The 25,783-nt window shown below is 39.9% G+C and overlaps 1 protein-coding gene across 6 annotated transcripts in view, besides 2 other annotated features; it reads right to left on the bottom strand.

Moving 5' to 3' along the window:
* Positions 1-19,961, bottom strand: part of EDNRA (endothelin receptor type A) — a 63,858-nt gene extending 43,897 nt beyond the window's left edge. For 4 of the 6 annotated variants that reach the window (NR_045958.2, NM_001957.4, NM_001166055.2 and 1 more), the window contains exons 1-2: positions 19,682-19,961; positions 14,957-15,446 (exon numbers count right to left, since the gene is read on the bottom strand). Coding sequence is in view for 3 of the 6 variants with exons in the window: in NM_001957.4 (NP_001948.1) it covers positions 14,957-15,376 (420 nt within the window). In the remaining 3 variants the exon portion in view is untranslated. The remainder of the gene's footprint in view (positions 1-14,956; positions 15,447-19,681) is intronic. The other 2 variants (NR_148963.2, NR_148964.2) reach the window with 1 other exon arrangement.
* Positions 19,062-19,141: an enhancer, noted in NCBI's record as "active region_21999". NCBI's record gives its function as "activates an Ori minimal core promoter by ATAC-STARR-seq in GM12878 lymphoblastoid cells {active_cell/tissue: GM12878}" and the evidence as "EXISTENCE:reporter gene assay evidence [ECO:0000049][PMID:35858748]".
* Positions 19,172-19,271: an enhancer, noted in NCBI's record as "active region_21998". NCBI's record gives its function as "activates an Ori minimal core promoter by ATAC-STARR-seq in GM12878 lymphoblastoid cells {active_cell/tissue: GM12878}" and the evidence as "EXISTENCE:reporter gene assay evidence [ECO:0000049][PMID:35858748]".

Raw genomic sequence — 25,783 nt, 5'->3', positions numbered from 1 at the left:
ACAAGTAAAGAATTTCAAAACCACAAGAGAGATGGGCTTTGGTGTAGATACTGAGAGGCTCTTACACCAGCCTGTTTGGAGGGCCAATCCAAATGAGTGCCTCTGCAAAAATCACGAATAGGTCAATGCTCTGGTTCTTCAAGCTGCTTTCACATAGTTGGAACTACATATTTTGACTCCTCACATTTTGAGAGTCCATGCTCCCTCCCTTTCTTCCTCAAATATATGAAATGTCACCTGGGTGCTGGCAGAATGACATGGTTGAGCCCTAAGGATGGGTCTCCACTACCCAACTCTGCTTTTTTTTTTTTTTTACCTCCATCCCCTGTAGCTCCCCTGTCCTTTCCTCCCAACATTTTTTTTTCCTTCCAAGCTGGAGTGCAGTGGGAGCAATCATGGCTCAGAAGCCTCGACCTGGGCTCAAGTGATTCTCCCACTTCAGCCTTCCAGTAGCTGGGACTGCAGGCATGTGCCACCACACTCAGCCAATTTTTGTATTTTTTGTAGCAATGGGGTTTCATCATGTTACTCTGGCTAGTCTCGAACTTATGGGCTCAAATGAGCCTCTGGCCTTGGCCTCCCAATGTGCTGGGATTACAGGTGTGAATCACCGCACCTGACTGCTAACAGTTTGGAAAAATCTAATGTAAACAGAGAACATCTGTGTCACAAAAAATAACATGTATGCATACACACATACACCTAATGTTAAAAAATGGAACATGAGATATTTCTTATCTTATCCCCCACTTTCCCCTTTGTCTAAGACATGGCCTTTCTGTCCATTATTAAAGAAATAGTCCCTGATTTTTACAGCATAGAGGTAAGAAAATTCATCTGTTTTTAGTTATGATCTTGTAATTCAATTGGTCCTTCCAAAGAAATATAAAGTGTTGTGATTTTCTGACTGAGTAACTTCAAGTATGTAAAGCTTTATCTTTAAGACTTTTAGAGGCTAGGTGTGGTGGCTCACACTCGTAATCCCAGCACTTTGGGAGGCTGAGGCGGGCAGACCACCTGAGATCAGGAGTTCGAGATCAGCCTGGCCAACACGGTGAAACCCCATCTCTACTAAAAATACAAAGATTAGCTGGGTGTGGTGGTGGGCACCTGTAATCCCTGCTACTCAGGAGGCTGAGGTAGGAGAATCGCTTGAACTCGGGAGGCGGAGTTTGCAGCAAGCCAAGATTGCATTACTGCACTCCAGCCTGGATGACAGAGTGAGACTCCGTCTCAAAAAAAAAAAAAAAAAAAAAAAAAGACTTTTAGAGAGTAACTATATTTTCATATGAAATTTCTCTAAAATAAATGAAAAATCTTCATCATCTCCTTTTCCTTTTTCTTTTTCTTAACTGAAACATAAATGGCTACCCAAAAATCTAGCCACCTGGCTTAGTGCTGCTTTTAATTACCCAAAGGACGATGTATTGAATATTTCTAAGTGTGTGACAAAGAGTTTAAAAATTGTTTAATTTTGATTAGAAAACATGTGAATTGTGGTTGCCAAGACCTCTCATGAGACCAAAGTTCTGATGTTTACTAACATAAATCGAGACAACGAAGAGACAATAGATCTTGGTTGTTGTAACTGATTTGGCTGTCAGCTTAGGAATAAGCCTACTTTATGTCATTATGCCTAGTGGGATACCATGAAATGGTCCCTTCATTATTTATTTTTTTCAAATACAAAATAATGACTTCAGGCTGGGCATGGTGGCTCACACCTACAATCCCAGCACTTTGTGAAGCAGAGGAAGGAGGATCACTTGAGTCCAAAAATTTGAGACCAGCCTGGGCAACATAATGAGACCCCATCTTTACAAAAATTCAAAAAATTAGATGGGCATGGTGGCATGTGCCTGTAGTCCCAGCCACTTGGGAGGCTTAGGTGGGAGGATTGCTTGGGCTCAGGAGCTTAAGGCAGCAGGGAGCTGTGGTTATGCCGCTGAACTCCAGACTGGGTGGTAGAGTGAGGCCCTTTCTCGAAAAAAGAAGAAAAAGAAAAAGAATGACTTGGGAGGTCAAGTGATTTATTCAAGATCAGTGACAAACCATTTTAAAAAATAAAACATATTTTGATTTCTTGAGATTATGCCCATTTACTTCTTGGGGTTAAGGCATTAGGCACTTAAAAATATCAAAGGTTATGAAGTGTCTGGTCGCAGTGGCTCATGCCTGTAATCCCAGTATTTTGGAAGGTTGAGGTAAGAGAATTGCTTGAGTTTAAGAGTTCAAGATAAGCCTGGGAAACAGTGAAACCCCATCTCTATTAAAAAGAGAAAAAGGTTATGAAGCCTTATTCACATTTCTGAAGTTCAGATCTTGGGCTTTGACTGCCTGTGGGTCCAAATGGAGGTAGATGAGAGCCAGGGATGAGAGGAAGGGGCAGGGCAGTTGGTGAGATGCCACCAGGCTTGACAAACTTTTTCCATAAATGGCCAGATAGTAAATATTTTAGGCTTTCTGGGCCATATGGTGTCTGTTGAAACTACTCAAAAGCTGCCATAGAAAATACGTAAGCAATAGGTATGGCTGTGTTCCAATAAAACTTCATTTACAAAAACAGGTGGTGGGCCAGATTTGGCTCACTAGCTGTAGTTTGCTGGGCCCTGGGTGAGCGAATCAAGCAGGAGCAAGCAGCAGTGCTTGAAAGTGGGCTCTGGACGGTCACCTTAGTGCATACCACTCCCTCTGGGTTGACTTCCTTTATGATGGTACAGGAGCTGGAGATGATTCTGAAGTCACTCCATACAATTAATGAAAATATTACCGTGAAGCTATTTCCCCAGAACAAAAAGCAGGAAAAGTGTCAATGACTCACATTTAAACTCTTATTCATGAGATTGCAAAAATGCAGTGCTCAGACATTTCACAGAGTTCTGAATGACTTCCTGGGAGTGTTTACATTGTAAGATGATTCCATTTCATATGTGGTCAGTGGGTTTTCATAAATAAAATTTCTTTTTGGGATGTTGCAAATGCAAATTTTGCTGATGATATTAAGATAAATTTTTCTTTTAGCTCTGTCTTCATGTGTTCCAATTTGGTAAATTTCTATGACAACCATCCCTACCCTGGCAATCTTGTATTAAGATGCCAATCTTTCTACTTTCAATGAACATTTTTAGAGGTATTTCACATTAAAAATAGTATCTTTGTGTTCTTTGGTCTCAAAAAGTCCGAGAGAGGCTGGGCGCGGTGGCTCAGGCCTGTAATCCCAGCACTTTGGAGGCCGAGGTGGGCGGATCACGAGGTCAGGAGATGCAGACCGTCCTGGCTAACACGGTGAAACCTCGTCTCTACTAAAAATACAAATAAATTAGCCAGGCTTGGTGGCGGGCACCTGTAGTCCCAGCTACTCGGGAGGCTGAGGCAGGAGAATGGTGTGAACCTGGGAGGCGGAGCTTGTAGTGAGCCAAGATCGCGCCACTGCACTCCAGCCTGGGCGACAGAGCGAGACTCCATCTCAAAAAAAAAAAGTCCAAGAAAATACTTGAGTATAAAACTCCGCTGGTATCCAGGCTAACTTTATTGGCTATTTGCTTGTATCCTCAAATAGAACGTCAGCAACTTGAAGGCACGGCTAGCCTAGATTCCTCTGTGTTTTCTACAGGTACTTAGTCAATGTGTGAGTTGATCTGGGAATTATCCATTATGAAGGCAGATAACAGATTTTCTTGAAAGGCAAATAATTATCATGGACCAAATTCATACACAGGCCACACAAGACTTAAAGCTTTTAGAATTAGAAAAGAATTCTGGGCCAGGCATGGTGGCTCATGCCTGTAATCCCAGCAATTTGGGAGGCTGAGATGAGAGGATTACTTGAAGCCAGGAGTTTGAAACCAGCCTGGGCAATAAAGCAAGACCCCATCTCTAAACAAAAAAAAAAAAAAAAAAAAAAAAAAGAAGAATTCTATTGCCTAGTTCTTAATTCTGTACCTTAACCTAGTGTAATTCTCCAACATTACTGAATAGTAAAATATAAAAGGTTATGATCAAGAAAAATTAAATAAGAAGTATATATTTAGATATACTTAGTATGCAGCTATCTATGTTGATACATAAATATGACAGATATCATTATGTACACAGCTATAGGTTTTTATATCTATATACTTACATATTCAACATATATATGCACCAAAAAGATGCATAGGAGAATGTCCACAGCTGCACTATTCAAAATAGCCCAAAACTAGAAACTACTTAATAATGCCCATCTTTAGTAGAATTGAGAAAGTGCGATATTCACACAGTGAAGTGCTATACAATAATGAGAATGACTGAACTACAACTGAATGCAACAATATGGATGACTCTCACAAACATAATGTTGAGTAAGACAAGCCAGACACAAAACAATACCTACAGGCATCATAGGATTCCATATGCTAGAAACACAAAAACAGGCAAGCAAATTCATGCTGTTAGAAGTCAGGAAAGTGAGTGGCTTAGGGGTTAGGATAGTGACTAGGAGACTTCAGGGTGCTGATAATGCTCTCTTTGTTGATCCTGGTTACACATGTGTTCATTTTGTGAAAATTAACAGAGCCAATGCTTAGGCACATTATTCTATGTGTATGCTACATTTCAATAACATATTTAAAAGTTTAAAAAGTATTATGACTGTTAAATGATATAACATAACCCTAATTTTCATAGATTTCACTTCTTTAAGCAAGTAAAATTTGTGGAAACAATGAAAATATGCAGAGAAATACCCATACTTATGACATCAATGACACCATTTTAAAAGAGAAACTTTGCTGTATTCTAGATATTTCTATTTGGTGAAAACTGAAATTTAAATCTTCTTTCAAACTAAAAGTTCACAGTAGTTAGAGATTTTTTTTTGTACAGACATTCTGCAGAATTACTTTTGTGGCATAAAACTTACGTGGGATGCAGTGTAATGTGTTATTCAATATTTTGTTAAGAAACGTGTATCCATTACCTTTCATATTTTGATAAGCAATATTTTGGACATTGAAAAAATGTTCAATAATGTTTCCTTTATTTGTTGCTTTTAAAATTAGGAATTAATAATGAAGTTCCTTATGCATTAGATTTAATGGAAAGGTTTCACAAAAGGTACGTTTTATATGCAAATCTTTAAAAATTGAGGATTGCTGGCATCTTTTTAATGATCAGTTTAGACATATCCACAAATGTCATCTGTTATGCTTCCACATCCTCCTTTTAACTCCTGTGCATCTGGTAAACCCCCAAGGAGAAAAGTCTAGAAAAGCAACCTCTAGCTTTATCAGTCAAGCCTGATGTTTCTAACCCAGCTGAAACTATGGGCTAGCCATAGACATTCATTCTTCTGTATCCTGTCCACAGACAAATTGCCTAGCCTTTCAAGTGATAACTAGATGAGCCATTCGTTTGGCAAAATGCATTTCTCTGAGCAGAGGTGTCGAGGCAATCAGTCCATCAAATAACTCAATCTTTCCTCTCAGTTTATTTATTTTTTATTTTCTGGCTCTCCTTCTGTCAGTTGACCTCACTGACATGACAATGAACATAGGCTACACAAATCCTGTTCACCAGATGTCCCAAGGCCATCTGCAAGACTTACAACATAGATGCTATTTTGGAGTGCAATCTATTGTACATTTTCTTTACAATGTGTTACTTCTGTCTTAAAGAAGGAACTAATGAAGCTGTTAGATTTAGTGGAGAAGATAAAGGAAATGATTTTCTTCTTTGAACAGTCTTTGAAAATCTATTTGTGTTAGGGATGACATTTTGGTAATGATAAGGTTTGTCTTACGAGGTGTGTGGAAGAACAGTACGGCAGGCTGGCTAACAGCACAGCCTCTGGGATCAGGCTGGATCCAAATCCTGGACCTGCCATTTCTAGCTGTGTGACTTTGAGGAAGTTACTTAACAGTCTGGGACTCACTTTTTTCATATTATCATTCAGGCAACAGTAGCATGTCATAGATTTGTTGGGAGGGTCATACGACTTAGCTTGGCATAGAGTAAACGCTACACTTTAGGTAATATTCTCATGTTATATATTAGTATATATAACATATTTTAAGATTGCATATTTTCCCTTCATTGATTTAGGAAATACTTTTCAACATAGCAGCCAACGCCTAGGCTCAAGCTATCCTCCCACCTCTGCCTCCCTAGGTGTTGGGATTACAAGCATGAGCCACTGTGCCTGGCCAGAATGTTCCTGTTAAAATGTAAACAAGTTCATGTCACTCATCTGGACATAACTTTCCAAAAACTTCCCATCTCATTCAGAGAAAAAAGCCAAAGACTTTTAAAGGTGTATAGGTTTTCCTTGTTTACCCAGGACAGTCCTGGTTTATGCCTATTGTCCTGACATAATAGTGTCTCCCTTCACTCTCAAAATTGTCCTGTTTGGACAATAGATGATATAGTCACCATGCTATCAGGCCCTATGTGCTCTACCTCTCCCCTACTCTTGCTCCACCCTCATATCCTTGTGATCTCATTTGCCACGACTCTCTCTCTCCCACTCAACCACGATGGCCTCCTTGCTCTTCCTTTAACCCTCCAGGCACATTCCTGCCACAGGGCCTTTGCACTTGATGTTTCCTCTAATGGAATGCTCTTACCTTACATAGTGGCATTGTTTGCTCCTTCATCCCTTCTTTTACTCAACTGTCACCTTGTATTGAGGTCACCCACTCAATATCTCTCTTCTTTCCACTCTCTTTTCCCATTGTACTTATCTACTTAGCACTTATCTTACATACTATGTATTTACTTACTTATTTCCCTTTTTGTCTTGCTCTTCTACCAGAATCCACAAGGGCAAGGATATCTATCTGTTTTGTTTGCTGCTATTTACCCAATGTCTTTATTGAATAAATGAAGAGCAGCTAGAGAATAAATACCTTATATTACTGAGTAAACAAGTGGTGAATGAGTTGCCATCTTTATTGCCTTCTAGTATAAATTTGATCTAAAATAACAGGAGTCTCATGTTTAGGGCAAGTATGAGATGCAAGATTTGACTTGCTTCCTCTCTTGGTACTAGTCTCCAAGGAAGTTGTTTTAAAAGTTAGAGTGTCAATAAAACTCTTAGAGGTGTTTAAGTTCTGAGAAGCGACCTCTAAATGTGCACAACCTAAAATAATATTAAGTCTTTCTGAGGGCACATTTGATTTTAGGCTCCTGAGCCCCAGAACATTGAAGGCTTCAAACCTTCCAAATTTATTTATTTAATTTTTTTCCAGGTTGCTCTTCTGCAAAAATGTACCAAATTTAAATAGATGCTTCAGAGCATGCAGTTTTACATAATATTTGATGTTCAAATTGAAACATAAGGCTACCAAAAATTAATGCTGAATGACACATTCAGTTTTATTATTAAATTTAATTTCAACTATTAACTTTTAATCTTAGGACAGTTTTTCCAATAAAAACTAGACCTAGTTAAGAATAAAATTGTAGCTATAGAAAGCAGTAGTTCTAACTCCCAAGAGAATGTGGTAGATCCAGAAGGCAGTTGTAGAATTTCTGGCAGTATATCAAATTTATTTTGATGGAATTTCTTAGAACAGCCTTTATTTAACCACTCCAGTCTCAAAATCAACTTCAGCGACAACACACTTGATTCCTCAGCCCCCTTCATTTTAGTTTGCACACTCTTTATACTAACTGTATATACTTTGTATAATAATCAAGCAACTCATAAGACTACCCTATAGAAATACTTCAGGATAAAATGGCCTGAACTTCTGCTTTTATTGATCAGAATGCTGGAACCAGAGCAACATTTACACACACACACAAGCACACACACGCATACACAATGTATCATGTGAAAATTATTTTCTTAAACCTAAAACTTTCCTGCATCATTATTTTATGTTAAATTTAGAATATAGCAAACTCTTCCTATGAGCTAAATGAACTCTTTGATGGGGGAACATCATCAGCCATGAATCTATTTACATCTCAACACGTTACTAACAAGAACAGGACTGAAACCATCTCTCCCTCCTCAGCCATGGGAACAGTCTTGCAGTGATGGACGGTTTCCATCCCCCATCACTGACGCGGGAATAACTGTGCTGTGAGCCAAATGCCGAGGGTTAGCAGAGTAACCTCACATGAGAATAATTACTTAACATGACCATGAGAGAAGGCAATGAGGTTCCCAGACACAGGAAACGAAAAGTCAGAAGGGGAGGTAGAGCTGGACAGGGTTCTGAAGCCTTTCCAGACAGCAACTTCCTTATAACAAACAGCAAATTGGCTAATAAATTTGTCACTCTGTCATTTTATATGTACATATATTCTTAAGCTAGCTAGTTAGCATAATGTTTTGCAATGTACATATATCATAGTAATGGCAGAAAAATCAACCTACTTCGTATTCTCTCAAGAGCAAAAAAAAAAAAAACTTCTGTGATATGAATGTTTATTTTGATATTCCAAATCACTTATAGGTTAATATTTCAATCAAAACTACAGTTACAACTATGCTTAAAGAATGCACAGAAATAGTTAACACAATGCCTGAACCATGAGACAAGAATTCTTGACCCCTAAAGACAAAAGGAAGGGGAAAATCATCTTGCTGTTATGTGCTGCTCTGCTTCCCACGAGTTTCTCACAGATTTATGGACCCTGAGATATTCTGATTTTCAGAAAAAAAGGTAGAAATTCAATAAACTCAATAAGCAGGTCTGCTTGTAGATCTGGAATTGCATGGGAGAAAAACATTCTAACAGAGGCAACTATAGTACATTTTCTTTTTTCACTCATTTACCTAATATTTTTAAAGCTGGGCACAGGAGATACAGTGATAAATGAGAATGATGGCAGCATGCCTGAAGGAACTTGCAGACAGGCCAAGGAGCTGGCAAATACAATAGAGTATGTTTTAAGTGCCAGTACAGGGTTAATAAAGGGGGTCTTGGGAGCGGCACTAACCCAGTTTGGATCATGGATACTTGCCAAAGAGATGATTAAGCTGAGATCCAAGGAATAAAGTGGAAGAAGCCAGAGAAGGCCTGAGGAAAAAATATTCCAGGTAGAAGGACCATATTCCAGGTAGAAGGACTCAGATAGATAGACCAGGTTAGCTGGAGTATAGAGAGGTAGCGGAAAAGCATGGAAAGAGAGGTGCTCACAGAGGAGGCAGCATCAGAGCTACCCTATGGGAAAACATCTAGCTGGAATACAATGCACCAGTGAGGAATAGAGATCTTGGTCAAGGGACACATTTTCTCTCTTAAAATTTAGAGAATGCAGTTTCTATAGCTAATTTTATGATGATAGCATGATTCTTGGAGTACATGAGAAAAGTGTGTTTTTATTTGCTTGATGATGCGGTAAAAGGGAAATATGCTTATCACATACGGAATTTGGTGGGTAACTTGACTAAGTTGGGGAATAGTATATGCATACCACTGATAATGTCTTCTGCCTTGTCTATAAATGAAGAATCCCTTTGACAAATCATCATCATCATCACCACCACCACCCCCACCTTCATCATCATTTTAATTTGAATATCTCAGATTAATCTGATTTGAAGTTAATTTAAGAGTGAAGGCCCTTATCAAATCAAATCATAACAACAAGCATTACTGAACATCTACTATGCTTGAGGTATCTAATCTGTAAGTTGTGACAATTTATTTTTAAGACACAATTTGCTGTGGTGATTTGATATGTCAAGAAGCAGCTTTTGTAAAGCTGCCCCAGAAGGATGGATCCCAGTTGCACAAGATGTCAAAGGCTGTGTGAACATGGAGATAACTGGCTCTATGTGGATGTCTCTCATTTCCACATTGTTCAGATCCTCTGCCAGAGCAACATATTGAGAGTCTTGACTTTTCATTGCAAAATATTCGTGGTAACTTCATGCAGAAATAAGATGTGTTTATTTTTCATTGTTGTCCTCAATAAGGGGTGGTTGCTTAGGGTAGACAAAATTAGTAATCAACAGAGTTACCGGCTTCTATCACTGTTGTTCTCACAGATCTGCTTTGTGCCACATGCTAAGTGGAGACGTGATTTACGTGGCATATTATCCACGGCATCAACTCCCTGCTATGCACGTCAAAAGCGTCTATGGCAAGCCATTGGACTGTACCTCTTACTTCTTTCCCTTACTCCATCTCTCTCATACATACATCTCCCTGCATTCTTGTTTCTGCTTAAGAGACGAGGTACAGTGATATATGGAAATGTCTGTGTGTGCATAATGGCGGAGCTGTTATCCTGAAGCTACATGGTGCCAAGCCTTGGCTCATGCACAAATATCACTTTTAGGGCTTCCACTCTGTTCAAAATTATAACCCATCTCCCTATGGACAACACTCTATGGCATACATGTAATCTCATGAATCATTAAATAATATAATTATTAAATTCTATACTTATCTATTTTGTCATCTAGTAATCAGGGGTTATTTTCAGTCTCCCAACATGGAGACAATGTTTTAACTATTTTGCCATTCTAACAAATGTAAATATCCTATGTACAGATTAATTTACTTGGCTAAGTTTTTGTTTTTCTTGAAAATTTAGGATATCAGATAATGTAATTTATTGACAAGAATGAATCCACCAGCAGTATGGGTTATAAGCTTGGGTATATGAAAAAATCTGCTAACTCCTTTCCCTTCCTCCTTCCTGCTTTTGTCAATCTTCTACTGCAATTAGTAATATTATCCTTATTTTGAACAACTAAAAATCAGTTATCCTTTGATAATCTTAGAAATAGTTTTTTCTTCAACATTAGCATTTGCAAGGCCATTGTGTTTCAAAACCAAGAAGGCAACTGGCATTCATTGGCTTGCCTTGGTTCCTTCTGCCTTGCATTTTACTTTCTTAGATTGCTGAGTTTCTTTTATCATCAGGTTGTGTGTGTGTGTGTGTGTGTGTGTGTGTGTGTGTGTGTGAGTGTATGTAAGCAAGGGCTATAGGAACTTCTTTTCATCTTTTGGGTTATTTCTGTTAGATGCAACATATATAATTCTAGGCCTAACTCATTTTTCAAACTAGGATCTGTAAATGCTTCAGCAGCAGCAATTCGGTGACTACATTCAGTCTCTCTGAGAATGTTATTTAGGGCAAAGTATGTTCCTTGGGGGTAGTGATAGCATTTTGACAGAGCTGAGCCATGCATTTTGGGAATTAGTAGGAAGGAGGTGAAGTATGGCCAAAGTGTGGAGGGCCTTGATTGCTAAACATGGGGGAAAAGGGGGACAGGTGGGAGCTCCTGGGTGCTTTTTTAGAAGCAGTGGCACTTGACAGATGGAAGCAAAGTCCCGGATATGTTATGGGGAAGAAGCTCTGAAGATAGGGAGATCAATTAAGAAATTAAGAAATTTCTGAAAATTTAGGGGTGGAATGACCCCATCCCACCTTCCATGCCACAGGCCATCCAGAGCCACCAAGCATCAGCTACACAGGTTAATGACATCCGAAACAGCCCAGCTGTTTGATACCTGTTATGTTACTTTTCAGTTGTGTTTTATATTACATTGCTCTATGAAACCGTTTCAGTACAATCTTTTTCAAAGTGAGAGAAAGGGAATAAAACGTTAATAGGAAGAATACTTTATAGTGCCTTCTTCTTCTTCTTGTAACATTATTACAGTCTTATCAGTAATTCTAGCTTGCCTCAGATATTAATACAATCTTTAAATAGTCTACTTCCACTTATGCTGACTCTGATATGACTCAAAGCAATGTTGTCTGTCTGGAGACACCTTAGAACTGAGCATAAAAGCAACTAAGAGTGGATGATGAGAAATTTCATAGTGGGTACAATGTATATTATTTTTGTGATGGATACCCTAAAAGCCTTGACTTCACCACTATGCAATATATACATGTAACAAAACTACACTTGCACCCCATAAATTTATACAAATTAAAAAAGAAAAGCAATTAATATAATTGTTAAACACAAAAATAGGTGTGATTCAAAACTCATCTTTCTTTGAAGAGCATATTAGATACTTTCAACTATTTATTCTTCTTTCAACCTAATCCTTCTAATAGGGAAATAAAGAAGGCTCACACATCCCTTTAACTGAATATTCTCCAATTGTATGCATTATTTTCATAGCTACATAAATGTAATGGTAAAGTGAGATGGACAGCTGCTACCTTGCCCTGCAATACAGAGGTAGTGAACTTGATATGGTTAGAGGAATCTATAGGTTTAATATGTGACAGACTCCCACAGAATTTTACTATGGGAGGCAGCTATGGGGGAAAGGGATGGGGGCCTGTGACTCACATTGCTTGGAAGGATCTCTTGAGTATCCTGCTTAGAAGTCAGAAGAATAGCAACATGTATGATCTCATGACCTAGAGAAGAGGATGACAGAAAGATGTGGCGATTGCTCCTAAATACTGTGAGCCTTTTTAGCACACTCCAGTGCTTTTTTCTCTTTTCCTCTGGAAAAAGATTGAAATAACTAAAGAGTATTTGTTTTTTTAGCCTAAAGGTTTACTTTCTAAAATTAATGATAGTTAAATGACTCATTACGAGTTTTGGAAAAACAGGAATTACACAAATGTACTCCTACCTATGATGTAAAAGTACCAGTCAAACTGTCCACATTATTTAGAACTACAGTAAGGTATACAAAGTATTGGATTCCCAGGAGGGGAGAACAATATGGTCAAATAAGAATATGTTAATTTTTATTCATTGCTAGGTGAATGTAAAGCAAAGTTTTATTTGCATTTTTACCAAATCTGGAGACATTCCAGATGGTCTGACTTAAAACGTTGCCATGGAATAGAAATGATGTTTAGTCTGGTGATTGGCAGTAGCACCGCAAAGAGATAAGCAGGTATCCTTCCCAGCAGTTGTGGATATTGATTGGCTAAGAAGCTGCTTTGCACATGGCAAGTCTACATAGTGTGCTTCAGGGTGAACAGCAGCAGGGAGTTATAAATGCAGAGATGGATAATTATTTTCTTGAGCCATGATGGGTTGGTTCACTAGTTCATAAGTTTGAATAATCAATGTTTGATACTCCACACTCTGATGGCTGAAGAGTCAAAATTTGAATTTTCCAATTTATCATTAAGGAGAAATGTCAGGAGAAAGTCAAGTGGTTGTGTGCACATAGTATATCATAAAGAGAAAACTTTTTAAAAGAAAAGATTAAAGTTATGTAGCATATGCTAAACATTTTAAATCAATTACACATTTTCAATTTTGCATCATAGTTTAGTTCTAAATTCCTATTTTAAGCTCTAATAGAAAACACATGTATTTATGCTATCCTGTGGAAAGAGATGGTAATTTTTTGATTGTTTGTTCTCTAATCTCTTCAATTTTGGAAACAGTGTACTGGTGTAATTTTGGGAAGTTTTTATTTGCAATGTCAAAATTGTAACCATTGTTTTCATCTATATTATCAGACCACTGATTTTTCTGCTAGGGTAATATAATTTAACCACAGCTTAAGTGTACTTATTGGAAACTGAGAGATTACTGTTTTACTTAAAATGTGTTGTATCTTCAATTGACAAAACTTGCCATTTAAAGTAATATTTCAGAATATTACCTCTTAGAATAGTTGCTTTCTATGCATAATACATAGAAGGAAAAAACAAGGCTGAGGAAAATACTCTTCTTGGGTTTAGAATAAACACATTTCATAAAATCTGGCATAGATCAGGCCATTTCATTTGAATTTTAGTATATCTGAATTCTTGCAGCAATTTTTCCCTCCCAACAACTAGACCAAATATGGAATATGTAATTCCTTCGGCTTTAGTTTGTTTTGGGTCTAAGTAGTCTCTGATATAGTTTGGATGTTTGTCCCCTCCAAATCTCATGTTGAAATGTAATCCCCAATGTTGGAGGTAGGAACTGGTGGGAGGTGTCTGGCTCATGGGGGCAGATCTCCCATGAATGGCTTGGTGCTGTCCTTGCATTAGTGAGTGATTCTCGAGACATCTGGTGGTTTGCAAGTGTGGTGCCTTGCCCCCTTCTCTCTTGCTCCTGCTCTTGCCATGTTACGTGCCTGCACCCCTTCTCCCTCTGCCATATTTGGAAGCTTCCTGAGGCCCTCACCAGAAGCAGATGCTGGAGCCATGCATGTACAGCCTACAGAGCTGTGAGCCAATCAAATCTCTTTTCTTTATAAATTACCCAGCCTTTTTTTTTTTTTTTTAATAGCAATGTAGAAATGGCCTAATACAGTCTGTAAGCAAGGTTAGTTATCTTCCTCTCACACTGAGGCACTGACTTTGTTGTGTTTCTTTTTGGTTCCTTACTGCCTAGCTCAGGGGTGGGCACACAGTGGGTGCTCAATAAATGCAGACTGAAGAAATGAAGGAGACCACAGTAAAGCAGGCAAATTTTAAGTGGTATTAGTTAGTAATGCTGCTCAGCAAGGTCAACAGTGGCCTGCTATCATGTGGACCCCATTATCTCTAAGTCACCCATATCACTGAGAAAAGCCAGGATGCCCTTTGGCTTTAATCATTAATCTAGACAGTCAAAATAAAATAAATACAATTCATTTCAAGCTGGACTGTAGATATCTGGCTTCTGAACAGCATCATATTCAACGGTAACTAAACTCAAGGATATGTTTGTTTCAAGTATTTTCTGGGCCTAGTAGCTCTCACTCTGGAAATTGCATTTCATAAAAATCCAGGGATCTTGCCAAGACAGCCTATCCAACCAGCAAGCCCAGGGGTGGCATGAGAATCCAAGTCATGAAACACCATGATTTTGAACCATCATCCCTGAAATACTATTTTGTTACAATTAAGGTAGAAACTAAGTGTAACATAAGACAGATAATAAAATTTGTAAATCTTAAAACTAGTAGTTAGAAGACAGCAGAAATAGCTCTCAGTAAAAACACAGATAAAATTCCAAAGGTCAGAAAAGTCTGCAGCAACTCTCCACGTGGAATCAGAGCATGGGTTTAAATTTGCAAATACATTTGTGGTTACTTCCTACCTTAAATACATTGATAGGGAGATCAATGACCACATAGATAAGGTCTCCAAGGGCAAGACTGGCTATCAGCGCGTTGGGGCCATTCCTCATACATTTGTTCTGGTAAATGATCCTGAGCAGAGTTGCATTCCCCACCATTCCCACGATGAAAATAGTACAAGATATCACAGTGTTAATGTATTTGAAAGCTGAAGTAATTTTAGTCTGCTGTGGGCAATAGTTGTGCATTGAGCCATTGCTGGGTAGGACCAAATTAGTGGGTTGATGAGTGGTAACCAGGAAGCTGAGCTCTGTGCCACGAAAAGTGGTGAAATCATCCACATGATTGCTTAGATTTGTGCTGTATCTCTCAGGATTATCACTGATTACACATCCAACCAGTGCCAGCCAAAAGGATGCCCTGAGGCAAAGGGTTTCCATCTTGAGGCAAATTTGAGGAAATATCTCTTATTGCACTTGTGCTGCTTTTACACCTTCACTTTTTTTTCACCTGAAACAAAAGGAAAAATAATTTTTGTTCCAAAACCCAGTTGCCAAAAAGATCATAGTCAATGATTATTTATTGATTCAATTAAAATGCAGGATATATTTGGTGATTAGATAAGATATATGTATATCAGGTTACCCTATGACAGAGCAAAACCAGAAAAAAACTGAAGCTCTATTAGGGCAAGCTCTATCTCCTCTATGTCAGTCTCCATCTCCATCTCCATCATCTCCATCATCTCTGTCATCTCCGTCTCTGTCTCTGTCTCCATTTCCGTCTCTATAGCTATCTATCTCTGTCTCTATTTCCATCTCTAGCTCTATCTCCATCTCCCTATCTCTCTAGCTTTGTCTCTCTCACTCATCTCTATACATAGCTATACTTATATCTACATCATAATATGGATGAGGCTATGTCAGTTTTTCCTTTAAGTAGTAGTTACTTCTTTCTCTACATTCAGGCTGATAAGAACCTGAATTACAAAAATCTTCAAGAGTTGAGATACAAACATATTTTTTAATGAAAGAGAAAAGGCATTATATGCTGAGTAAAGGGTACAGGGTATTGAGGCATAAAATAAAATTATCGAATGTAAAAATTGAATCTTCTAAAATGTGTGCTGTCTTGCATATGATAAATAATGAACATAGGGATGAAGTGCAGCACAGGTAGCCATCTAAAGTGTTATGAAATGTTAATGAGAACTCTGGTTAACACCATTAACACATCTAACAATTTTAGTTTCAATTAAGAATGAAATAATTGATAAAAACATTTGTTTTGAAAACCTTGATGATTAATGTGTAAAATCTAAATTTTTTACAGGAGTTTTTTTGCTTTTTCATTTCTCAGAAATTATCATCACAATACGGTATTTGCCGATGAATGAAATGGGAGTAATGAACTTTTCCAGGCTAGTCATAGTATTTTGGTTTCCAAGGGACACCTGTCCCCATGCTATCTTTTAACCATCCTATATAGCTACATTTATTTTATGCCAGTCACTGTACTCAGTACTATATGTGCATGATGCCCTGTAATCCATACAATGGTCCTGTGGGGTAGATCCACGGTTCAATTTTGAAGATAGGGAAACAGAGGCCCAGGAGGGTGAAGCAGCTTGTCAAGGCCACAGGTGATGGGTGGCAACACTGCGATTCTAAGGCAGGTCAGTCCAACTCTGAGCCGGAGCTGTTAACCACTAAACCATCCTGTCTCTCATTCTTGTGCTTTATTTGTATGTAAAATATTTTAAAGAAGTCTCCAGAGTTTAGATGAAGCAATAGACTCAGGAGGGTGGTTAGACATTTTCAAAGACCATCTGGTGTGGTTTATTTATTTATTTATTTATTTTTAAGTCACTTGCAGAGAGCAAGTGGTCCTTCCTGTCCAGGAAGTCTAGGAGACCTTAATAAGGAATAATCAAAGATAATTAAAAATAGCTCATCCTATTTCAATATTTTATATATTTCCTTTTCTGTAGGCTTTTATGAATCTTCAAATGAAGACATAATCTGATTTATGCGGTGGTGTGTGTACGTGTCTGTGATGTATATACCCAGGTCATAATTTAATCTTAAAAAAATTGAGTCCTGGTTGGGTGTGGTGGCTCATGTCTATAATCTCAGCACTTTGGGAGGCCAAAGCAGGAGGATCACTTGAGCCCAGGAGTTTGAAACTAGCCTGGGCAACTTAGTGAGACCCTGTCTTTACAAAACATAAAAAAGATTAGACAGGCATGGTGGCGTGTGCCTGTAGTCTCAGCTACTTGGGAGGCTGAGATGGGAGAATCACTTGAGTCCAGGAGGTTAAGGCTGCAGGGAGCTATGATCGAGTCACTGCACTCCATCCTGAGCAGCAGAGTGAGACCCTGTCTCAAAAAAAAAAAAATTAAATAAATAAAAAGTAAAAAATAAAATTGAATCCTTTTTCTGAGTGTATTCAAGGTTGATGTTAACCACTTTTAGGAATTTTGACAATTATCTTGGGAAATCAGTAAAGCTTAGGTTTGGCCAATACGTGGATAAAATAAGATTTATTCAAGTTGCATAGAAAGTATAGGGTATATATAAAGTGCGAGTATTGGATACTTTTGCCTTCCCCAGAGATTTCCCCCTGAACTCTGAAATAATAATAGTATTTACATATAGTAACTTATTATATATGTATCTGTTATCTGCCTTGAGCTTTACGACTCTAGGTAGGCAGGAGCAATATCTCCATTTTACTTATAAGGAAACCAGAGTCTTGAAGAAGTATTTAGGTCAAGGTTTCAAAGCCAAGAAATGGCAGGACACATAATTTTGCTTATAGGACTTGACTCACTCTGATTAAATGGGAAAAATATCAATTTTTCAAGGCTAGAGGCAGGCCATGTATTTGTCAGCTCTGACTAGACTTAATTATAAACAGTTTGCAGTTTTTTCCTGCTTCTTATAATCTGGAGTGAGTATCTGGCCAAAAATTGATAGACCTATGAAATGACACCATTTCCATTCCAAAGGGAACACCAGGACTCCAAGAGAAAAGCTTCTTGTCATCCTCCTTTTTGGATCACAGATACAGGGGGGAGAAGAAATACTTTCATATCTTGTGCTGTTTCGTGACTAACGTCTTCCAGCTTCCCAAATGAAAGGGAACCTTCAATAACAGCTTTCTTAAAAATGAGAGAGAGAAGGCCTTTGCAGAAATGGAATGGCTCTCTGCCGGTTACAGTCGGCTGGGAACTGACCTGTGAACTGACCTGGCTACGGTGGGTACTGCTCTACTCATCAGAGGTCCTGTGGTGCTTTGAACGTTAGCATGCTGGTCTGCTTGGTTAGCTGATTATGCCAGGAGGTAAGGCCAACGCTGTGGGTTCTTAAGGCATGAGAGCCAGCTATCATTAAAACCCCCTTCCTTCCTCCTCCAACAATGACACCACTACAGAAATCATTTCTGATGACTTCTCTATCAGCTCTCCACACATGTTAAGCTGCAAAACTAAGGGATACTTGGCAAAGGCCTGTGGATGTCATATTATCATTGGCTGAAAAGTACAAAACCAAATGAAAGAAGCCCCTCAACTGCAGGTTCTTCCAAGGTGGGTCTGTAGCTCATTTCCAGGAATCTGAGTCAGGCTGTGCTTTGAATCATCACTCATAATCAGTCATAGCGCTAGTGAAGCATCTCAGGTTCAGACCTGAAGGACATGGTCTATAGATTCAGCATTCTTCCTGTTTGGAATCTGAGAGTTTGGGGAGTGCAAAAACTATTATTAAGAAAGAGGACTGAATCCTTACGCTTACACTTTAACCATTTAACATATGAGACTCTCAGGATCAAAGTTCACCTGTAATTGGTAATTTGGAAATTCAGACCTTATCAAAATGGCATGAGTTTAGAGCATTCAATTTACATGAAATGACTGCCAAGGTGTTTCTCAATTAGCTAACACATAGACAACTACAGGTGGAGGAAAAAACAAGTAAAAGTAGGAACTTTTTACAAGTTTTCTGAGGTTTTGCTCTCTGGTTAAGAAATGAGCAACTCTCCTTAGAGACAACGCCTGAGTTTAATATGCCTCCCACCCCCAACTCTATCAGGGGAAAGCCATTAGGATGATGTAAACAGAGGGTGATTATCTAGAAGCAGCCCTTGTTTTCTGCACGTGAGAAGCAACAAGTGTCCTTTAAAGGCGAGCACAGAACAAAACGCCCAGACCTCCACAGGCAGGTTTCCAAAACTAGCTACACAGGGGGTTTCCCCAAACACCTCAGTCCCTCACACCGAGTGCCCTTGGCTACCCTTGGCATACCCAGACCCAGATGTGGGGGAGGAAAAGCAAGCCAGTAAGAAAAGGCTGTGGAGCCAACTTCACAAGAAGGCGCTGGAGCAAGCCACAGAGCTTGGCGTTCCTCAAAGTTCTTGCATGCCTGGGGAAAAGGGGTCACCCAGGGAAAACTATTGGGCTTCCTCTTCCTAAAACTCCGAATCCTAAACCCTAACGTGGAGAGGTGAAGTTCCCCGAACTCTACACGTGTCCGCAGCGCACCCCTCACGGAAGGCGCCCGCCTCCCCGCGCGCCCTGGGGCAAGTGGGTGCCAGCCCCTGCTGCGACGGGTCGCCCAAGCTGCAGGGCGGTCGGGCCAGAACGTTCCCAGCTCTCGTCTTCTCCCGACCGAGGGGCCCAGGCAGCGTCTCCGCCATCCCCGCACCCGCCCCAGTCCCAGTCCCCGATAAGAAAGACTTGCACCGACCGTGGAGCTCGGCGTGCGCAGACAGCTGCCGGGTCCGCGCGGCGCCTGGGCCAGAGGAAGCCGGAGCCGGCGAGGGTGGGTGGCGCGGAGGGTGGCCGGTGTCCCGGGCTCCGGCGCGGCGGCGGCTTCGGCTGCACAGCTTCCCCGGCTTCAGAAAACCTCCTGGGCACTGCTTCTCCCGGGGAGGTCTCGCTGGGACCCCAATCCCCGGCGACGACCGGGTGGGATGGATGAAGCCTCTCCACCGCCTCTCCACAATCGTCAGACCAGCGGGATGACTGTACGCGCGCGCGAGGGCTCGCACGAAAAAGAAAACTCCGGAGGAACACGCCTCCAGTCTGTCCTCCCCGTCTCCTCCCAAAGCTCCAGACCTTCCACTCCACTCTGGGACCGCAAGAGCGTCCTAACCTTCCAGCTATCCTGGGACGCGGCCACTAAAAAGCACAAAGCTGCCGCCCCCTTCCAGGCCCTGAAGGGCAGGAGTCTTTTTTAACTATTTCCTTCCTGAAAGAAAAGGTGGGGGATGTGGAGGAGAGAGGGTAGAGTTTGACAGACAAGACTCAGAATTCCGAAAGGCCTTGCAGAGGAACCCATCCTCTTAGTGCAGGCAGATTTGATCTGTGACGGAACAACTGGACACAGAGCCAGGGCCCACGGGTGGTTTCTTCTCCGTCTTCCCTGCCGCCTTTGCTTGGCTTGCGTGCTCCCTCTTAAGCTTAGAGGCCGTTGAGGAGCCGAAGTGGACAGCAGTTTACTGGATCAGGTGGTTTGCTTCTATCTTGTCCCTTGTAGCCAGCATCCCACGGCTACAGACCTCCAGCCCAGGGCAAAGAAGGAGCCTCAGGAGAGACTATGGAAGGTTCCAGCGCGTGGCTCCGTGAAACCTCAAGAAATTCAAACAATGAAGAAGCCGACCTTACAGAAAGTGGGTCTCAACGTCTTTATCACGGCAGATACTTTATCCTAAATTGGGGGTGGGAGAGGAGATGAGGGACAAAGGCCACTGCCTGTGACATGTGAGTAAAAACTGGGGTCTCCTCAGGGAAGGCCTGCCTTGGAGTCCTTCAGTGCACTGCTAGAGTCAGCACATGGTAGAAGTGTGAGGTTGGAGCACTGGTCATGTTATATCCCATGCTGTTCCGGCTATCTGCTGCAGCTAAACAAATTACTATAAAACGTAGTGGCTTAAAATAACAACACTCATTTACTCTGCTTATCAGTCTGCAGTTTGGGCAGAGCCTGTCTGGGACAGCTCGTTTTTGCTCCATGTAGCAGGGGCTGGAGGATCCACTTCCAAGACAGTTCACTTGCTTGGTGTTGAGTGTTAGTTTTTCTCCACGTGCGTCTCTCCACAAAGACTTGTGGAGACTTGTGGTTTGGGCTTCCTCACAGCATGGTGGCGGGGATCCAAGAGTGAATGTCCCCAGAGACAGAAAGTGGAAGCTGCCAGTTTCTTAAGGGCTGGGCCCAGAAACTGGCACCGTGTCATTTCTGCTTGATTCTATTAGTCAAGCAGTCACAAATCCCAGATTGAAGGTGAGGGTATATAGAGCCCAACCCTTAGTGTGAGGAGTGTCAAAGAATTTAGGGACCATTTTGTAAAACCATCAAAGAGATCTACAGAAAACCACCATTGAAAGAGGCCTTAATAGTCATCTAGTAGGGTTAGACTAGATATTACCCTGTTCACTAATCTTACAGCTTCTCTAGGAGGGAGAATCAGCCAACCAGAATAACTAATAGCTTTTATAAGTGCCATTGTTTATATTAAAAAAAGGTGACCCTTTGGGCATGTGGCTTGGCAAGCTGACAATATTTTCGGGAAAGAAAAACTTACTGCTTCCTCCCAAAAGAGGCAGTTCACATCTTGGCCCGTGAAACATGTGCTGGATTTCAGCCCTTATTCACTCTGTGGCCAGACACACTTGGACAGTGCATCACCTGCATATCTGAATATGTCAATCTGTCCAGTCTTTGCTAGAACACATTCATCATGACCCACCTATTGAGACAGCTGATCTCACTGTGGTGTAGGACTAGTTACTAAAAATTCTTCCTTCACACCTATTAGGATAGCCATTATAGTAAAACAAAAGCAAAAACAGCAAAGAACAAGTGTTGGCAAGAATGTTGAGAAATTGGAACCCTTGTGCATTGCCAGTCTGAATGTAAAATATAGTGTAGCAGTTGTGGAAAACAGCATGGCAGCCCTCCAAAAATTAAACATAAAATTACCCTATGATCCAGCAATTCTACTTTTTGGTACTTACCTAAATAATTGAAAGCAGAGTCTCAAACAGATATTTGTACACCCATATTCATAGCAGCATTATTCAGAAAAGCCAAAAGGTGAAAACTAGCCAAAAGATGGAAACAATCCAAATATCCATCAGTGGAAGAATGGATAAACAAAATGTGGTATATACATGTATGTATATGTATATAAATACATGTACATAACACAGAACATTATTCAGCTTTAAAAAAGAATGATATATGCTACCACATGGATGAACGTTTAAGATATTATGTTAAGTGAAATAAGCCAGACATAAAAGGAAAGATAGATATTTTATTATCCCACTTAGATGAGGTACCTAGAATAGTTAAATTCATAGACACCGAAGGTAGAATAGTGATTACCAGGGGCTTGGAGGTGCCGAGGGGAGAATGGGGACTTACTGTTTCATACGTTTCAGAGATTTAGTTTGGGATGATGAAAAAGTTCCAGTGACGGATGGTGATGAGGGTTGCACAACAATGTGAATGTACTTAATGCCAATGAACTGTACACTTTGAAATGGTTAAAATGGTAAATTTATGTTATGTATCTTTTACCGTAATCAATTCTTCCTGACATCAAAATGAAATCTGCCTCTATACGTTACCTGTTGATCTGCCCTCTAAATTCATAAAATGAGTTTACTGTCTCTTTTAAGATCTTTAAACATAAGTAAGTGTATTTATGTGAATAATCAGCATAGACCTGCCTTTGTAAGAGAATAGGATTGCCTCATTCTAGATGAGAACAACATAAATGTTCTTTAGCTGTTGGAGATTTATATCCTCATTTTCTCAGCTTTACTTGGGGCAAATGACTTCAGGGGACTCGAACCAGTTTTTAGTCAAGTTAACTTTACCTCCAGTTACCTTTCTCCCCATAGATAATACTTTATATACTTGCCCCAACTCTATATTCCATGCTTTTTACTTTCAAAGAACATATAATTAATATATTTGACTAAGCTTTTCAACTTGACTTCCAAAGGTTATTTCTTTCCCCTGGAAAGTGGGTTGGATGCAGATTTGCAGGTTTTCTGGGTTTCGGGGAAACTATCCTGATCACACTTGACTTCTGGTTCAAGTAGCTCACTAAGTGGAGGATTACTGTAATGAACTTATCTTGGCATCATGTTAGTATTGTATTGATTTCATGAACAAAAAGTGCTGAAGATTAAGAAGTACTCAATATAGCACTTAAAAAACCATTTTTTCATGTGTCCTTGGGGCAAATGTTCTTCTGAATTTAAGTTTCTTGATTTAAATTTGTAAATCCATTTCACAGTTGCTAACTCCCAAGATCCTCAAACTTGAAATGCAGTAGTGGTTTTGAGTCTCACAGTATTTGCTAGAGATGTGTTCATGGTTAAGGTCTCTAGGAGCAATGAAACCTGAAGTTTTCAGAGAAGAACCACAAAGACTGGTTGTGAGAGTAAAGGCAGAGAAATTGGGGAAATGTATGTCAGAGACCTGAAACTGTCACTACAGCCTTCTCATTGGTTAGTGCTGTGGCCAAGACTATTGGCAGCAAACACACCTGTCTGGAGATGAAAAGACAAGCCCTATTAGTTGAAGATCCATTTTTAATTAAAACTGACTAGAGGCAATTTGTTTTTGAGGTAAACACAGTCATGTGCCCCATAACATTTTGGTCAATGGCAGACCACACGTGGTCCCATAGGATTATAATACCTAAGTTGCAAGAGATTTGAGAAATATGCTTTTAAAAAAAAAGAAGAAAAAAGACTGTAATACTATATTTTTTTTACCATACCTTTTCTATGTTTAGATATGTTTGGATACACAAGTACCATTGTGTTACAACTGCCTACAATATTTAGTACAGTAACTTGCTGTACAAGTTTGTAGCCTATGAGTAATAGGCTATACCATATAGCTTAGATGTGTAGCAGGCTCTATCATCTAGTTTGTGTAAGTACACTCTATTATGTTCACACAACGATGAAACCACATTTCTCAAAACATATCTCCATCATGAAGACACATGACTGTACTCCAAAATTAGTCTATAGATGAGCTGCTGCTGGAGATTCTAAAGTGCTTATGCATTGCAACAATGTTGCACATGGTGGTTTAGACCAGGTTATCCCATTAAAATATATTTAATATATCAAGTAGCCCAAAGTTTTTTTTAAATTGCTGGTGGCCCCATTGGAGAGCTGAGAAATCAATCAATCTTAGTATTACTAATGATAGGGTAACCAGATAGTAAGTGTCCACTGATCATATATTCCATCCATTTAAAAATGTTTCAGTTGAATATAATCAGGTCTTCAGCTGTAACTTCCAGTTTCCAACAAAGATGGGAATAGATGAACAAGGTAAACAAATACCATGAGGATGCAAATAAACAAATCTGGAAGTTACAACATTTTACAGGGCAATTAACCTGTCTATTCAACAAGCCAAGCAATGAAAAGATGATTATCTTTTTCTAGGTTGAAAGAGATTTAAAGGAACGCAACATCCAGTTGTGCTGTTCTGGATTGGATCCTGGTTTGGCTAAAGCAACTATAAAGCTCATTTTTTTGTGGAGGCAGCTGAGAATACTTGGATTTAGACTAGGTGCTAGATGCTATTAAGGAATTATTAATTGTATTAAATGTGAAAATGTTATTTTGGATATATAGAAGAATGGTCTTATATCTTAGAGATTCTTTTAGGGGGAGATATAACATACTTTTAACTACCAAGGCACAAACAAACAAGGCACATGTGTCTTAATGATGGAGATATGTTTTGAGAAATGTGGTTTCATTGTTAACATGACATGAGTTAAAAAAAAAGTGAAAAGTACAATGAAATACAGTGGTGGACAGGCATAAGACAGATATTCTCATTCCAAAGGGAGACATAGGCAGGACCATAGGGCTATTCAGCTGCAAACGTGCATGGGTTATTCTTTAAGGAAAGGGAAGAATGGCCCCAAAGGTGATTCAGAGATCATCAGGGCTGCCACTCCACCCATGGGCCTGGGATCAAGGCTGTTTCCATCTCACTTTCAAAGGGTGGGATTGCCTCTTGGTTTCAGCAGGCCAGGATGGCACCTTCCAGTGCCTCAGGAGCAGGGTTGCCCCACAGAGCAACAGGGTGACATTTTCATCCCAACATGCCTGAAAGGCAGAGTATGGAACTAAAGAGGATTATTCTCCAGTCTTAAGATCTGGTGGGATTTTCCCTGCTAGGTTTTGAATTTGCTTGGGAGCTATCACTCCTTCCTATCTTCTGATTTCTCCCTTTTGGAATGAGAATGTCTATCCTCTGCCTGTCCACCACTGTATTTTGGAAGTATGTAATTGCGTGGTTTCATAGGCACACACACACAGAGAAATTTTGCTTCAGCACGAATTGTACCTTGAACCTCTCCCATATGTGATTTAGATGATTTTTAAAGACTTTGGACCTTCCACTTTAGAGTTGAAGCTGAAATGAGTTAAAACTTTGGGGCTGCTGGGGTGGAATGAATGCATTTTGCAGGTGAGAAGGACATGAATTGTGAGGGGCCAAAAATAACAAAAATGAATGTTATTTTTGTATCCTCCCAAATTCATATGTTGAAGCCCAAGCCTCCATTGTGATGCTGTTTGGAAATAGAGCCTTTTGAAGGCAATTAGCGTTAGATGAGGTCGTGAAAATGGGGCCGTCATGATGGGATTAGTGCCCTCATAAGAAGATACACCAGAAGGCTTGCTTTCTCTTCCTCTGCTATGTGAGGATCCAGTGAGAAGGCAGCAGAAAGAGACCCCTGAACAGAACCAGTCCTTGCTGGCACCCTGATTGTGGGCTTCCAGATTCCAGAAT

The sequence above is a fragment of the Homo sapiens genome, chromosome 4, assembly GCF_000001405.40.
Source record: "Homo sapiens chromosome 4, GRCh38.p14 Primary Assembly".
NCBI classification, from domain to species: domain Eukaryota; kingdom Metazoa; phylum Chordata; class Mammalia; order Primates; family Hominidae; genus Homo; species Homo sapiens.
Note: the sequence above shows the minus strand (reverse complement) of the source record. Positions and strands in the feature narration are given on the sequence as shown.